Genomic DNA, 16,642 nt, shown 5'->3' on the forward strand with positions numbered 1-16,642 from the left:
TGCTGGGCAATTTCACACAGATTTTTGCATTTCATTCAATGAGTCATCACAACCACCCCAAAGTGGAGGTATTATTATCCCCCGTATTATACCAAAGAATCTGAGGCTCAGAGTGGTTATGTAACTTGCACACGGTCACAAGGTTAGGAAGTAGCAAACCAAGTAAAAGATCTCCTCAAAGCAACATCACAGAGAAAAAAATGTTGAGGAATTCGGGTGTCCTATGAGTCCATCTTGCGGTGGCTGGCTTGCCCAGGCTGCTGCCATCTGTTACACATGCGCATGAGAAAGCAAAACTCAGTCCATCAGATAACGTCTGAGAGCAGTCAGTGCTTTGTGAAGCCCAGCAAGCCACCGTTCACCAGTGGGCATAAAACCAAAGCTTTATGTTTCGGAACAGAACTGTTAATACAGACGCATTCTAGTGATTGCATTATCGGCACCCTAAGTCACAAGGCTCTGGTCTGGGTCCCTGTTTACCCAGCTTCATTTGTAGTTGCCTTTCCCTTCCTCTCTGGGCTCCAGCCAAATAGCACCTGGCTGTCCCTCGGGGCCACCATGTTCCTTCCTGTCTCAGACCCTTGGCTATTGCTCTCCCTCTAATTGTCCTTCCCAAGGCATCTCTTCCCAGCACCACTCAGTAACTTTCATTAGAAGGAGGCTCCATGGGGCAGAGATTTTGTCTGGCTGGTTCAACATTGTATCCCCATAGCTGGAACACAGTTAACACTCAATAAACAACTGTTGAGAGGACGAATAAATGAATGAATATTTCAGACTTCAGTTCATACCTTGCTTCCTCAGTTCACCCCTCTCTGAGCCACATCCTCCTTGTGAAACGCTCCTACTCCTTACCTACTTATTTCTTTATTTTAAATGTACATACATGTATGTATGTGCGATTATTTGTCTGACGCCTGACCCAAGACTGTAAGCTCCATGAGGGCAAGGACTATTCCTGTTTGCTCACCTTGATGCTCTCAAGAATGGCCTTATTATGGTGTGCAATAAGTGTGGGTCGAATGAATAAATGGCCAAGCAAGTCTTAAAAAGGTCAATTTCTTCTGAGCTATTTTCATAATAAAGTACTTAGAGGAACTGAGAAAAAAAAATGGGTCAGGAATCCACAGATGAGGAAGGCACTTCAAGTCAGTAGGTAGTTTAGCCACATTCCTGGTGCTTTAGGGCCACTGGATCTTACAGTGGGGATAAAGAGGGGCCAGTGGTGTTGTACCTGGGTTTCTACCACTGTGCTGCAGTCTCACTTCCATTCTTTTTGTCACATGAGTGGGACTTACTTAAATGTGGCATCCCATGATTCATCTTCTGTTTGATAGTGTAGTATTGTTAATATGCAAATCTTACTGAGATTTCATCCAATATTTACCCTTTTCTGTGTGCATAACATGTTAAGATCTTCTATATCCTCAAGTATGATTTTTTTTAAGTCATGTCTAGATGGCCAATTGTTTTTTCTCCAAAAGAACACATTCCTGATTTTAAAATGAAAATCAGTGGGGAAATGAGATTCACTTAAAAGTCCATTGCCTTGTAGCCATTTCTGATGGAATACACATGCTCTGTTAAGTGAAGGGACACTCCATGAGGTTAATTTGATTTACACTTCATACGTTTCCTAAAGCATATGGTGACAGACAGAAGACGTAGGCTATGAAAGTCTGGAGGGATGTGTAAAATCTTCTTGGGAGCCAAAGGCTGTTTCTTTTTTGTGGCTTGATTTGCAGGGACTGCCTGGCAGATCTCAATGCAAACCTCAGCTGCATGGGGCAAGCTTAAAACCTGGACATGTGGAGGCCAGAGACAGGGCTGGGACAAGCTGCCAACTGACAAATGAATTCCCCACAGACCACCCTGTCACTTCCTATCTGCTGGCAAAAGTTTTGTCATCTGTGCCCACACATGGACTGTCTTGGGCATGGTCAGGCTGATTGGCATAGGAGGTAGCCTGAGTCCTCTGAGGCCCCAAATATTCCAGAATTCCTGAAAATGGACAAAGCCCACAGCAGCCCAAAGCATGCAGAATGCAGGGTGCAGGGGCTGGCGGCTGATGCCTGCTGAGAACCGAGACGGCCAGTCGTCCAACTCCCACGCACTCCTAGAGCCAGATGTCATTTTCACCTCTATTTTGGTGCTAGCTGGGGGAGGGGATGTCTTTGAAAACAAGGTAATTTTTTTTTTTTTTTTTTGTAATCTGCCCTAGTAAGCTGGGTGGGTCCTGATGCATAGCGGGGAGAAAGACTAACAATAAATACCCTCACTCTGTGTGTGTGTGTTGGGTGGGGAGTTGGGGGTGGGGTCAGGGGTAAAATATACATTATATAAAATGTATGATTTTAATTATTTTTAAGTGTACAATTCAGCGTCATTAAGTACATTTACAAGTTGTGCAACCATCATCCTATCCACTTCTAGAACATTTTCATCATACCAAACTGAAACCCTATGCCCATTAAACAATAACTCCTCCCAGCCCCTGGTAACCTTATTCTACTTTCTGTCTCTACGAATTTGACTATTCCAGGGACCTCATGTAAGTGAAATCATACCATCTCTGTCCTCTTATGTTCCGCTTATTTCATTCAGCATCTTATTTAAAAGTTCGTCTACGTTGTAGCTTGTGTTTTAAGAAAGAATTTTATTTTATTCAATATAAGAAAGAATTTTATTTCTTTCTAAGGCTGAATAGTATTCCATTGTGTGTGTGTATATATATATATATATATATATATACACACACATCATATTTTATCTATTTATCTGTGATGAACATTTGGGTTGTTCTACATTTTAGCTATTATGAATAATGCTGCAATGAACGCTGATGTACACGCACCTGTTTGAATCACAGCTTTCACTTCTTTTGCATGTATAACTAGGAGTTGAATTGCTGGATCACATGGCAATCCTATGTGTCAATTCTTGAGGAATTCCCAAATTATTTTCCACAGTGGCAGCACCATTTTAAATTCCCACCAACAATGCATGAGGGTTCTAATTTCTATACTTGTTCACCAACACTAGTTATTTCCCTTTATTTTAAAATAATAGCCATTCTAATGAAGTGAAGTGATAGCTCATTGTGGTTTTGATTTGCATTTCCTTAATGATTTATTATGTTGAGCATCTTTTCATGTGCTTATTGCCATCTGTATATCTTCTTTGGATAAATGTCTAGTCAAGCCATTTGACTGTTTTTGAATTGAGGTGTTTGTTTTTGTTTTTGTTTTTGTTTTTGAGACAGTCTCGCTCTGTTGCCCAGGCTGGAGTGCAGTGGCACAATCTTGGCTCACTGCAACTTCTGCCTCCTGGGTTAAAGCGATTCTGATGCCTCAGCGTCCCGAGTAGCTGAGATTGCAGGTGTGTGTCACCACGCCCGGCTAATTTTTGTATTTTTAGTAGAGACAGGCTTCGCCATGTTGGCCAGGCTGATATCGAATTCCTGGCCTCAAGCAATCCACCTGCCTCGGCCTTCCAAAGTGCTGGGATTCCAGGTGTGAGCCACTATGCCCAGCAAGGTGTTTTTTTTGTTGTTGTTGTTGAGTTGTAGGAGTCCTTTGTATGCTCTGAATATTAATTTCTATCAGATACATGATTTGCAAATGTCTTCTTTCATTCTGTGGGTTGTTTTTTCACTCTCCTGATAGTGTCCTTTGATGCAATTTCCTTGCTCTTGTATATAATACTTCCCAGTTTACAAAATACTTACAAGTATTTGCTTTATTTTTAATGTCACAAGCAATACATGAATATAGACCCCTCACAAAATTAAAATTTTTTTTCAAGCAATACAGTTAAGCTAAAGTCAACTTTAAGCTCCATTCGCAAATCCCAGCATGATCCCATGAGATAAGGCCTTATCTGTTTGGTATTTATTCATCCAGATCTTTCCCCATATATCTGCATGAATTTCCTTCATTCAACAAATACTTATTGAATGTCTACTATAAGTGAGGCATTGCCATAGGCCCTGGGGACACAGAGGTAGCAACACAGACAAGGTCCTTACCCTGATGGAATTTACATTCTAGTTGGAGAGGGGAGGATGCATGCAACAGTAAATAAGAAAATCTAGATTGTGAAAAGCATTGCTAAGGAAATAAACAGGATGATACGATACAAAGATCTGTTGGGGAGGGGAGAGAAGGCCATGCTGGGGAGGAGACATTTGAACTGAGAGCTAAACCCATCCATCCAGCTGAAGACCTGGAGGAAGAGCGTTCAGACAGAGGTAACAGCGGGGCAGGAACAAACTTGTCCTGTATGAGGGCAGAAAGAATCCTGGAATGCCTGGCCAGCAGTGATCACAGGAGGAGAATGAGAGTGAGATCGGAGTGCTGGAGACCAGGGAAGGTGATATGGTTTGGATCTGTATTCCACCCAAATTTCATGTTCAATTGTAATCCTCAATGTTGGAAGTGGGGCCTGGTGGAAAATGACTGGATCATGAGGACAGACTCCCCCCTTGGTACTGTGTCAGGATAATGAACAGATAGTGAACGAGTTCTCATGAGATCTGATTGCTTAAAAGTATGTGGCACCTTCCCCCCTCTCTCTTCCTTCTGCTCTGGCCATGAGAAGTGCTGGCTCCCCCTTCACCTTTTGCCATGATTGTAAGTTTCCTGTGGCCTCCCCAGAAGCAGAAGCCACTATACTTCCAGTACAGCCTGTGGAACTGTGAGACAATTAAACCTCTTTGTAAATTACACACTCTCAGGCATTTCCTTATAGCAGTGCAAGAATGAATGAGTACAGAAGGCATTTGGGTTTTATTTTAAAAGCAATTAGAAGATGTTAGAGCCAGATGCAGTGGCTTGTGCTTATAATCCCAACACTTTGGGAGGCCAAGGTGGGAGGATTGCTAGAGGCTCGGAGTTTGTGATCAGCCTGGGCAACATAGCCAGTCCCCATCCCTACAAAAAGAGAATTTTAAAAAATTAGCCAGGCATGGTGATGCACACCTATAACCCCAGCTACTCAGAAGGCTGAGACAGGAGGATCACTTGAGCCCAGAAGTTTGAGGCTGCAGTGAACTACGATTGCACCATTGCGCCCCAGCCTGGACAACAGAGCAGGAAGCCTGGGAGGTTGAGGCTGCAGTGAGCCATGATCCCACCACTGCACTCCAGCCTGAGCAACAGAGTGAGACCCCATCTCTGAAAAAAAAAAGATTAGAGGACTTTTAGCAAGAGAGTGAATGTGAATGACTTGTATTTTTAGAATATTCCTAGGATTTCCACGTAGAGACGAGTTTGGAGAATGTTGAAGATATTCAAAGTAGGGTGGGGACGGCTTGAATTAGGGCAGCAAGAGTGAAGGGAGAAGTGAATGGCTTCAAATTGAACTTTAGGGTCTTGTGATGGTTGTGATGAAAGGGTAAAGGAAATAAAGGGACCGATAATGATTCTTGGGTTTTTGACTAGAGCAGTTGAGTGGGGCAGTGCTGTTGCCCAGTTTAGAGAAGACATGGGCGGAGTAAGAAAGGGCAGCCCTGAAACAGAAGGTTCTGTTTTGGACCTGTTACGTTTGTGATGTCTGGGTGAGATGTCAGAGAGTTGAGATATATGAGTTTGGAGTCTCAGAAAGAGGTGGGATGTGATATAGAACAGTGGGAGTCCTCACGATATTTCATGATCATCCAGGAAGGAAATACGGCTACAGAAGGACATTCAATATAGCCCAGGACATACCAACATTTAGAGGTTGAGAAGAGCAGGAGGAGCCAGCAGAGGACCTTGAGAAGGGATGGCCAGAGAAGTGGGGTGAAGAGGCTGAAGAGAGTGAAAAATCATAACATCCAAGAAGAAAATTCTTTTTTTTCTTTTTTTTTTGAAACTTAAAAATCCCTCAAACATCGTTTATTATACAAGTTAATCCTGATCCTTGTGATGAGCTTATTGCTAGGATTTCTTTCTCTCTTTCTTCTCTCTCTCTCTCTCTCTCTCTTTCTTTCTTTCTTTTGAAATGGAGTCTCACTCTCTTGCCCAGGCTGGAATGCAATAGCACAATCTTGGCTCGCTGCAACCTCCACCTCCCAGATTCAAGTGATTCTTCCATCTCAGCCTCCCAAGTAGCCAGGATTACAGGCACCCGCCATCAGGCTCAGCTAATTTTTGTAGTTTTGTAGAGACAGGGTTTCACCATGTTGGCCAGGCTGGTCTCGAACTCCTGACCTCAGGTGATCCGCCCACCTCAGCCTCCCAAAGTGCTGGGATTACAGGTGTGCACCACTGTGCCTGGCCTATTGGTAGGATTTCTAGTAGCGAGCACAGGCACCAGAGCTTCCAAACTTTTTGGACTCACAGCGAAGGAGGCCAGCTACCAGCAAGGTCTGGTCATTCTGGATGAGGGTGTCTTTGATATCCTTCTTGGAAGCCTCATCCATATATTTCTGGTAATAGGCCACCAGGGCTTTGGAGATGGACTGATGGACAGCACAAATCTGGGCCACATGACTACCACCCTTCACATGAACACAAATGTTCACACCAGCAAATCGCTCTTTGCCCAGAGCAGAAGTGGTTCCAGCAGCTTGTATTGTAGCATATGCAGCTCGATCATCTCCAGGTGCCACCCATTCACCTTGATGAGGCCATTGCTGTGTTTGCCGGGCGCCACAGCTGTGGCCCTTTTCTTGCATCCAAAGACCTGCGCATACTGCAGTGGGCCCTTGGACAGCATGGCTACAGGCATACATTAGAGATCCTCACTGCACAGAGCTGCAACCAGAAAAGGAAGAAAATTATTTCAAAAAGGAAATACATTTGTGTGTGTTTGCAATCTTCCATGATACTTTTTTAAATGAGGCAGCGGACACCTGTGTCAGTTGCTGCTGAGAGTTGAATTAAGCGAGGCAAGAGAAATGTACATTTGCATTTTGCAGCATAGAGCCCATCTTGACAAGAGCAGTTTCAGTAGAGTGGTGGAGACAGAAGGGAGCTGGAATGGGCGTGAGTGGCTTAACATGATAATAATAGCTGAACTTATATAAAACTTACTATGTGCCAGACACTGATCTAAGTGCTTTACATATATTAATCTGTGCAACAGCCCTTTGAGATAGGTACAATTATTATCCTATTTTACAGATAAGGAATAGATCTTTAAGTAATTTGTCCAAGATCACACACATTAGGAAATGACAAAACTGGAATTTGAACCCAGACAAAACTGGTTGATCTGGCTCCAGGAAATAGAGGCAACCCTTTTGAGAAATCTTGTTATAAATGGTGTATTAATTAAGATAAGGCCAGATGTTGTAACACATAAACCACCAAAATCTATTTAGCTTGACTAAATAGAAGTTTATTTCTTCTCTTTTAAATTCCAATCAGTGATAGGAGTGGGAGAAGTGAGGATAGAGCTCTGCTCCATACAGTTATTCAGGGATCTAAGCACTTACCTTATGGCCTAGACATCTTCTTCAACACACAGCACCCTTAGTTGCCCTAGGTGTCAACATCAACCTGGCAGAAGAGGAAAGAGAATATGGAGGATCGTGTAGAAGAATTTTATGGGCCATACCTGGAAGTTGCGTACACCACTTCTGCCCACATTCTGTTATCCAGACCTCAGTCACATGTTCTCATGAGTATGCAAAAGGAGCCAGGAAGTGTGGTCCTTGGCTGGGCAGCCACTGCCAGCAGCAGCACTACACTGTGCAAAGAGGCCGTGGATTTTTGGTGGACAGTTGTCTGTCTACCCCATTGAGCAAAGACATAGTGAGAAAGGTATGTGTGAAAGGAGATTTGTTTTTGAATATGGGAAATACTGGAGCATGTTTGTGTACTGACAAGAATGACAGAGTAGGGAGGGGGAATCTAATGATGCAGGAGAGAGAGGATAATTGCAGGAGCAAAGTCCTCAGCAAGGTGATAGCAGGTGAAGGGATTGTCCTTTGAAAGGAGCAGGAGGGAGGCTGAGAGGTTGGCAGGGTGAGGGAAAATTGTTGTTGGCACATATTCAAGGAGGATTGGCGATTTCATCGTGGGAGGCACAGTTGTCCCTGGCTGAGGGCTTCTGGGTTTTTTTGGTTGAAGTGTTAAGAAAGGTCATCAGCTGGATGTGACGTGGGGAGAGGATGTGGGGGATGGGAAGAGCGAGAATGTACGAAATAATCATTTTAGACAGAGAAAAGAAACTTAGTAGAGAAACATTTTAGAATTACCCGGCTGTGTTGCATGACCATTTGAGGTTTGTGGTTATGCATATAAAATGAAAATTACCTCCAGAAGTTGTGTGTGTGTGTGTGTGCTTACATTAATGGTGTCTATCATTCTCTGTGTATTATTTAGCAACTTGCTTTGTGTCTTTCCTGTGTGCTGTACGTTCAGTATTCCACAGAATGGATGCACCAGAGTTTATTCAGCCATTCCCCAGTGATGACAGCTAGGTCATTTCCAGTTCTTTACTAGAAAGCTGCAGCAAGGATTCTTTGCCTGCTGCCTCGTGCACACATGACTGTTTCTCCAGAGGTACACCAAGAAGTAGATTTGCTGGATCATAAGGGAAATAGAAGTTTTAATAGATTCTATCAAATTGCCCTCCAAAGTGACTTTACCAATTGATACTCCCATCAGCAGAATATGAGACTACTGCCCACATCTTCATCTGCCCTACATTCAATCAAACTTACTATTTTGCTTGTCTGGTCGAATAAAAAATGTTTTTTCATTATTTTAATTTACATTTCCTTTATTATCAGGGATATTGCAGCTTCCCATAGATTTTTGGCCATTTGAATCTCTCCTCTTGTGATTTTTCCTTTCATATTCTTTTCCTGTTTTCCTAAGCATTGTTTACTTTTTCATATTGACTTATAGCAGATTTTTACATATTTTGAATGTTGTTTGTATATTGTAATTATTACAATTTTTTTAGTTGGTTGCTAGTTTTCAATTTTGTTGATGGTGTCTTTTTTTTTTTTTAAGAGACAGAGTCTCACTCTGTCACCCAGGCTGGAGTACAGTAGTGCAATCACAGCTTACTGTAGTCTCAAACTCCTGGGCTCAAGTGATCCTCCCGCTTCAGCCTCTCAAGTAGCTGAAACCACACATATGCACCACTACACCTGGCTTTTTTTTTTTGTGGAGACAGGGTCTCACTCTATTGACCAGGCTGGTCTCCAACTCCTGGACTCAAGCAATCCTCCCCTCTCAGCTTCCTAAAGTGCTGGGATTACAGGTGTGAACCACTGCACTGGGTCATGTTGATGGTACTCTTTGATGTCGTTAAATTTATTCATATCTTCCTTAATGCTTTTATATTAAGTGCCTTATTGCACAAGCTTTCCCTATCACTAATTCATAAAAATAATATCCTATATTTTCTTCTAATTCTTTTGTAGTTTTTTAAATTAAAGTCTTAATTTTGAGATAATTGTAGCTTCACATGCAGTTGTAAGAAGTAATACAGGAAGATCCATGTTCCCTTAATCCGGTTTCCCCCAATGGTAACATCTTGGAATATCACAACTAGGACACTGATATTGGACTCGACGTTGATACAGTCAAGATACAGAATGATTTCCCCACCACAAAGAGCCCTTGTGTTGCCCTTTTAGAACCACACCCACTTCTCTTTCCCCCACTCCTTTGTCCACTGCCATCCCCTCTTTAACTCTGGCAACCACTAGTCTGCTCTCCATTTCTATAATTTTGTCATTTCAAGAATGTTATATAAATAGAATCAACTGTATGGGACCTTTTGAGATTGACTTTTTTTCAGCCAACATAATGCCCTGAAGATTCATTCAGGTGGTTTTGTGTATCGATAGCTTCTTCCCTTTTATTGCTGAGAAGTAATCCATGGTGTGCTTGCACTCCATTTGCTTAACCATTCATTCATTGAAGGATATCTGGGTTGTTTCCAGTTTGCAGATATTTTTGTACAAGTTTTTGTGTGAACATAAGTTTTCATATCCCTGGGATAAACATTGAAAAGTACAATTGTTAAGACTTGTGATAGTTGCACACCTAGTTTTTTAAGAAACTTCCAAATGATTTTCCAGTGGCTATGCCATTTTACATTCCCATCTGCGAAGTATAAGTGATCCAATTTCTTCATATCCTGGTCAGCATTTGATGTTGTCACTATTTTTTATTTTAGCCATTTTGATAGATGTGTGTTGATATCTCATGTGGTTGTCTTGGCACTTTCCTAATGGCTAAGGATGTTGACCATCTTTTCATGTGCTTATAACCAGGAGTACCAGGAGTACACTCTCTTTGGCTAAATGTCTGTTCATGTCTTTTGCCCATTTTTGAATTCGATTCTTTGTTTTTTATTGTTCAGTTTTGAGAGAAATGTATGTATTCTAGGCTCTAGTCCTCTGTGTTTTGCAAATATCTTCTCCCAATCTTTAGATTGTCTTTTTATTCTCTGTACAGGGTCTTTCACAAAGCAAAAGTTTTCAGTTTTGATGAAGCCCAATTTATTGATGTTTCCTTTTATGGATAATACTTTTGGTGTCAAGGCTGAGAACTCTGTCTAGCCCAAAACCACAAAAATGTTTCTCCCATGTATTTTCTTCCTAAAAGTTTTGTAGTTTTAGGTTTCACATTTATGTTTGTGATTCATTTTGAGTTAATTTTTTTATACAGCCTGGAGTCTAGGTCAAGGTTCACTTTTACCTATGGATGTTCAGTGGTTCCAGGACCATTTGTTTACAAGGCTATCCTTCATCCATTGGATTGCGTTTGCATCTTTTTCAAAACTCGGTTGCGCATATCTGTGTAGGTCTATTTCTGGATTTTCCATCCTTTCCCATTGATTTATGCTTCCATCCCTCCACCAATATCACACAGTCCTAATTATCATAGCTATATAACATCTTGGAATTGGGTAGACTAATTCCCACTTAGTTCTTCTTTTTCAAAAAAAGTATGTGTATATATTATTTACTTCATATGCTTTATCACAAAACCACAAAAACAATCTCCTACATTTTATCCTAATTCTTTTGCAGTTTAAAAAGATATATTTAGTTCTTTAAGTAACCTGGAATTTATTATTATGACTGGTGTGAAGTAGAAATTAAACTTGACTTTCATTTTCTGCAGTTGTTTCTCCTAAAATATTTAATTGAATGTTTTGTCACTCATCTGAAATACCAACTGTATCATACACTAAGTTTCTACATATTCGAGGGTCTGTTTGTGCACTCACTATCCTATTACTTTGGTCTATTTGTCTATTTAATCCTATATTATTTTTAATTCTCTAACTTCATAATATGTTTTGTTAAAGTAAATTAAAATGGAGACCAGACCTGAAGAATCCCTACACAGACAAAGGCAGTTAGGATAAGTGACCTTAACCTTGTTTGATTTGTAAACATGAGTGAAACTTAACCTGGGCCATTTCTTATAAATACTTTTTTTTTTTTGAGACAGGGTCTTGCTCTGTTGCCCAGGCTGGAGTATAGTAGTGCCATCTTGGCTCACTGCAGCCTCGATCTCATGGGTTCAAGCAATCATCCTGCCTCAGCCTCCTGAAGTGCTGGGATTACAGGTGTGAGCCACTATACCTGGCCCCAAATGCCTATGTCAAAGAAAAATAGAATTTAAGCTCAACTAATCGGAAGCAGCCAACAAACTTATATAACTGGGAACAGTTTCCAACAGGATAAGCCAAAGAAGGCAAGTGTATAACTACAACCAATCAAATTTTTTTTGCTTTACTTCCCTTTTCATCCTATAAAAGCCTCCCTCTTGTAGTCCCTCAGTGAAGCTTCCCAACCACTTCTGGTTTGGAACCCAATTCATAAATCTCTGTCTACTCAAATAAACTTATTAACATTTTGTTGTGCCTCAATTTACCTTTTTAATACTTTTTTTTTTGACAGAATCTTGCTCTGTCACCCAGGCTGGAGTGCATGGCGGCATCTCGGGTCACTGCAGCCTCCACCTTCTGGGTTTAAGTGATCCTTGTACCTCAGCCTCCTGAGTAGCTGGGATTACAGGTGCACACCACCATGCCCGGCTAATTTTTTGTATTTCTTGTAGAGACAGGGTTTTGCTATGTTGGCCAGGCTGGTCTCAAACTCCTGGCCTCAAGTGATCTGCCCACCTCGGCCTCCCAAAGTGCTGGGATTACAGGTGGGGGCCACCATGCCTGGCCACATTTTTAATAGTTTTGATATCTGGCAGGATAAGTTCCCCTTTACTGTTCTTCCTTTTCAAAAGTCTTTTCTTATGCATTTTTTCCATGTGAATATTAATCATCATCTGTCTATTTTAATGAAGAATTCCAGTGAGATGGTTGTTGGGATTGCGCCAAATTTATAGATAATTTTATAAGGGATATTTTTATAATATTGAAATTTCCCAATGTAGTAGAATATATATCTCCCTTTATTTAGGTCTTTTATGTCCATCATTAAGTTTTACTGTTTTCTTTGTAAGTTTCTTGCATTTCTTTTTAGGACTGGTACTAAATATTTTGTGAATTTTAATTGTGCTGTACAGAGGATTTTGTTAACATATAATATCAAGTTGGTCACTATCATATAGGAACACAGCCTTTCACATAGCTGTTCACATGAGATACTCAGGAACCTTCTGTGGTAAGCAATGTTTGAACTGTCTTGTGGAAGAAGAGACTGAAGCTCAGAGAAGGAAGCCTGGGGCCAAATGCGGGTCCCCCAGGTCCAAGTGCCAGGCACAGAAAGCTTCCACTCCAGGGAAGGCTCTCGAATGTGCAGACAGTGGAGCTGCAGGGTCTCCCTTTGGCTTACAGAGTGTGGACCCAGCAGACAGTTCCTGGCCTCCCAGCGAGGCTCCAAGAAGACCTAACTACAGCCCCATTTCCCCGCTGCTTCATCTTTGTCTGTCACAGGCAAGGTCTGCCTTTCTCTTCAGGGGGACAAGTGCCTGGCTCTGTGACCAAGGCAGAGCCCAACTTGGTAAATGGATGCTATGGTCATTAAAAGATTAGAGGGTCATTAAACTATGGGTTTGGTGATGGGGGTCAGGTGGCTGAGCATTCCCTGAGGACAAGGTGAGAGATTAGTATGGAGGAGACTGGTTAGAACCAAATTCCTGGCTTGGGCAGCAAAGGGGTTCAGGAATGAAGGAGACCAGCCCTCAGGTTCCAGGGTGAATAATGACACCCTCTACAGGGAGGCAGGCCAGAGAGCAGGAATTGAGGGGTCGGGCCAGTGGTTTGGGAGGCACATGAGGTGGGGTGCGGAGTGGGATGGTCTGGGAGCCTGAGGAGCAAGAGAGCTGTAGATCACATCTGTGGGTTAGAAGTGAGCTAGGGGAGTTTATCATGTGTGTGATCCTTGGCTTCTCTGTTTATTTCCTTGCTTATCTCACTCAGGATTCATCATGGTGTCAGTAAAAGACCTAGCCTGTGTGAGGAGGCCAAGCGAGGCAGGATGGGTACCCTGGGGCCAGCATCTTGCAGAGGTGTCAGTGGGAAGCAGGATGAGGGAGTTCCTCAGAAAGAAGGAGACTCACGGCTGGAATCCCACCTACTCTTCTTTGCCTGAAATACTCATTTCGGTTGCACCATGCAGATTCAGGGTTTGGTACTAATGAAGATTATTTAGCTTCTTAGCTTTGTGATCATAGCTATTTTCCCAACTGCAAAATAGGGATAATAATTCTACCAAGTTCCCCAAATTGTAGAATGCTCATCACTGGAGATTTGGGGTGGTATGATAGATTATTTTATATAGTACATGGCCATACCTTTAAACAATGATAAATAACATAGTGAGAAATACATCCCTTTTTTCTTTTCCCCCAAATTTGCCTGATGACATAAGGAGAAAGTCTCCTCCTCAGAATGCCTCAGCCTCAAAAAGGGCATCCGAAAGGCAATACAATGATAACATCGTACTGAATTTTGCAGATATTCATGACAAGTGATAATGAATATAAAACTTCCTTTAAAGGTAAGTGGGTTTGGGTTGGGCGCGGTGGCTCATGCCTGTAATCCCAGCACTTTGGGAGGCCAAGGCAGGCAGATCACTTGAGATCAGGAGTTGGAGACCAGCCTGGCCAATGTGGTGAAACCTTGTCTATACTAAAAATACAAAAATTAGCTGGGCGTGGTGGTACGTGCCTGTAATCCCAGCTACTCGGGAGGCTGAGGCACAAGAATTGCTTGAACCCAGGAGGCGGAGGTGCAGTGAGCCAACGTTGCACCACTGCACTCCAGCCTGGGTAACGGAGCGAGACTCCGTCTAAAAAAAGTTAGCGGATTTAAGCTTATCTAAAGGTAACTGATATAAAAGAAAATTGATTTAAAGAAAAGAAATAAGAAATTGTACAGGTGGTGTGCAAAAGACAAGGCAGAAATCTTACATGTGGTAAGCAAAGGATCCAAGTTTGGGGTTCAGGGTAGTGGTGTGGGGAGGTGTAAATGGAAATAACACACTCAAAGGCTCAGCCCAGTACCTGGAACATAGAAAGGGCTCTCTCAATGATGCATGACAATAACTGTCGTTCCCTTTAAGTGAAGCTTGCCAGATTCAGCAAATAAAATCAGTGCACTCCCAGTTTAATTTGAATTTCAGACAAACAATAGGATTTTTTAAGTATAAGTATGTCCCATGCAATATTGGGAACATATTCATCCTAAAAAAGTATTTATTATTTAATTAAAATTTAAATGGAACTGAGTGACCTGTGTTTTATCAGGCAACCCTACTTCTCATGCCTTCCCTGGAATGCGGGAGAATTGGACGTGGCTTAGAGACCCTGGGATGTCACCCGGGATGCCTATCCCCCACCAGAGACTTGGGCAGAAGATGGTCAGGGGATGTGAAAGTTCCCGAGGAGGCCAGAGCATGCTGAGGGCAGCCTCCAGCCGGGACATTAGACACCCCTGCCCTCCCCACAACCCTGGCTCTGCCACTTGACTCTCCAGTTTCCTGTGTCCTGTCTTCCACCTGGCTGTGATGGGGAGGGGACCAGAGTGGCCCGGGAGTGAAGTGTATTACAGACAGACAGACAGGAGCTAGGAACACTCAGGAATTCGCTACGTGATGTTGAAGGCTTTCCACAGGGACCTGGGCCCAGAGACACTCAGTGGAAGAGGTTTTACAAATATCAGGCTGAACCTGGCCCTCCTCTTCACCTCCCTCCCCATCTGCACTGAGCCAGCCAAGGAAACCTCTTCCATCCATAGAAGGGCGGGAGCTTGGCCAGCAAAGGGGACTCAGGCTTTGTCACTTTTCCTTTCATTACCCTCCCTGGCCATGCTGAGCAGGGGTCCTCTGCCAGGCCACAGCGGCAGATGTCCTGGTCCTTCTCAAGGAGCCATCCCTACATACTCACACACACCACACTCACAGCACACACACCACAGACACACCACACTCACCACACATTCGCACCACACACACCACACGCACAGCACACACACCACAGACACACCACACTCACCACACATTTGCACCACACACACCACACTCACAGCACACACACCACAGACACACCACACCACACTCACCACACACCCCACATACACCACATTCACACCACACACAACCACATATACACCACACACACCACACACCACACATACACACCACACACAGCACACTCACACCACACACATCACACTCACAACACACCACACTCAACACACACACCATGCTCACCACACACTCACACCACACACACTCACAACACACACACCACACTCACCACACACACCACACATACACACCACACACACCACACTCACAACACACACACCACACTCACCACACTCACCACACATACCACACTCACACCACACACATACCACATACCACACTCACCCCACACACATACCACATACCACACTCACCACACACACATCACACTCACCACACACTCCCACCACACACACACCACATTCACAACACACACTCATACCATACTCACAACATTGACATCACGCACACAGCACACTCACCACACACTTGCACCATAAACACACCAGACTCACAACACAACACACACCACACAACACACACCACACTTACCACAAACAACACATACTCATACTATACTCACAACACACACTGACACCATACACATACCACACTCACCACACACACCACACTCACAACACACGACACATGAAACAACACACACCCACACCACAGACATGCCACACAACACACAACACACTCATATCACACTCAGTACACACAACTCACACCATACCACACTCACAACACACAACACACACTCATTCTATACTCAACATATACTGACACCACACACATACTATACTCACACACTCACATCACATACACACCACACACAACACACTCACATCACACACTCATCACACACAATACACACAACACACAATACACACTCACACGACACACCACATATATATACCACAGTCACCACACTCGCACCACACACAAACTCAAACACACATCACACACACTGCACATTCATACCACACTCACACAAAACACACAGCACACTCAAACCATACCCACACCACACACACCACACTCAATACACGCACCACATTCATACCACACTCACAACACACAACACACTCATACCACACTCACAACACACAACACACACACCACACTCATACCACACTCACAACACACAACACACTCATACCTCCCTTACAAGATGGATTCACAACACAC

General features: G+C 43.0%; 1 pseudogene, besides 6 other annotated features; it reads right to left on the bottom strand.

Moving 5' to 3' along the window:
• Window positions 1,002–1,051: an enhancer, noted in NCBI's record as "active region_15377". NCBI's record gives its function as "activates an Ori minimal core promoter by ATAC-STARR-seq in GM12878 lymphoblastoid cells {active_cell/tissue: GM12878}" and the evidence as "EXISTENCE:reporter gene assay evidence [ECO:0000049][PMID:35858748]".
• Window positions 1,082–1,231: an enhancer, noted in NCBI's record as "active region_15378". NCBI's record gives its function as "activates an Ori minimal core promoter by ATAC-STARR-seq in GM12878 lymphoblastoid cells {active_cell/tissue: GM12878}" and the evidence as "EXISTENCE:reporter gene assay evidence [ECO:0000049][PMID:35858748]".
• Window positions 1,815–2,004: an enhancer, noted in NCBI's record as "active region_15379". NCBI's record gives its function as "activates an Ori minimal core promoter by ATAC-STARR-seq in GM12878 lymphoblastoid cells {active_cell/tissue: GM12878}" and the evidence as "EXISTENCE:reporter gene assay evidence [ECO:0000049][PMID:35858748]".
• Window positions 2,155–2,284: an enhancer, noted in NCBI's record as "active region_15380". NCBI's record gives its function as "activates an Ori minimal core promoter by ATAC-STARR-seq in GM12878 lymphoblastoid cells {active_cell/tissue: GM12878}" and the evidence as "EXISTENCE:reporter gene assay evidence [ECO:0000049][PMID:35858748]".
• Window positions 6,215–6,753, bottom strand: RPS16P2 (ribosomal protein S16 pseudogene 2; annotated as a pseudogene).
• Window positions 8,212–8,301: a silencer, noted in NCBI's record as "silent region_11198". NCBI's record gives its function as "represses an Ori minimal core promoter by ATAC-STARR-seq in GM12878 lymphoblastoid cells {active_cell/tissue: GM12878}" and the evidence as "EXISTENCE:reporter gene assay evidence [ECO:0000049][PMID:35858748]".
• Window positions 14,881–15,381: an enhancer, noted in NCBI's record as "H3K4me1 hESC enhancer chr2:20364000-20364500 (GRCh37/hg19 assembly coordinates)". NCBI's record gives its function as "activates a minimal SCP1, AML or CMV promoter by ChIP-STARR-seq in naive H9 embryonic stem cells {active_cell/tissue: H9 hESC(naive)}" and the evidence as "EXISTENCE:reporter gene assay evidence [ECO:0000049][PMID:30033119]".

Source organism: Homo sapiens, chromosome 2 (assembly GCF_000001405.40).
Source record: "Homo sapiens chromosome 2, GRCh38.p14 Primary Assembly".
NCBI lineage: Eukaryota > Metazoa > Chordata > Mammalia > Primates > Hominidae > Homo > Homo sapiens.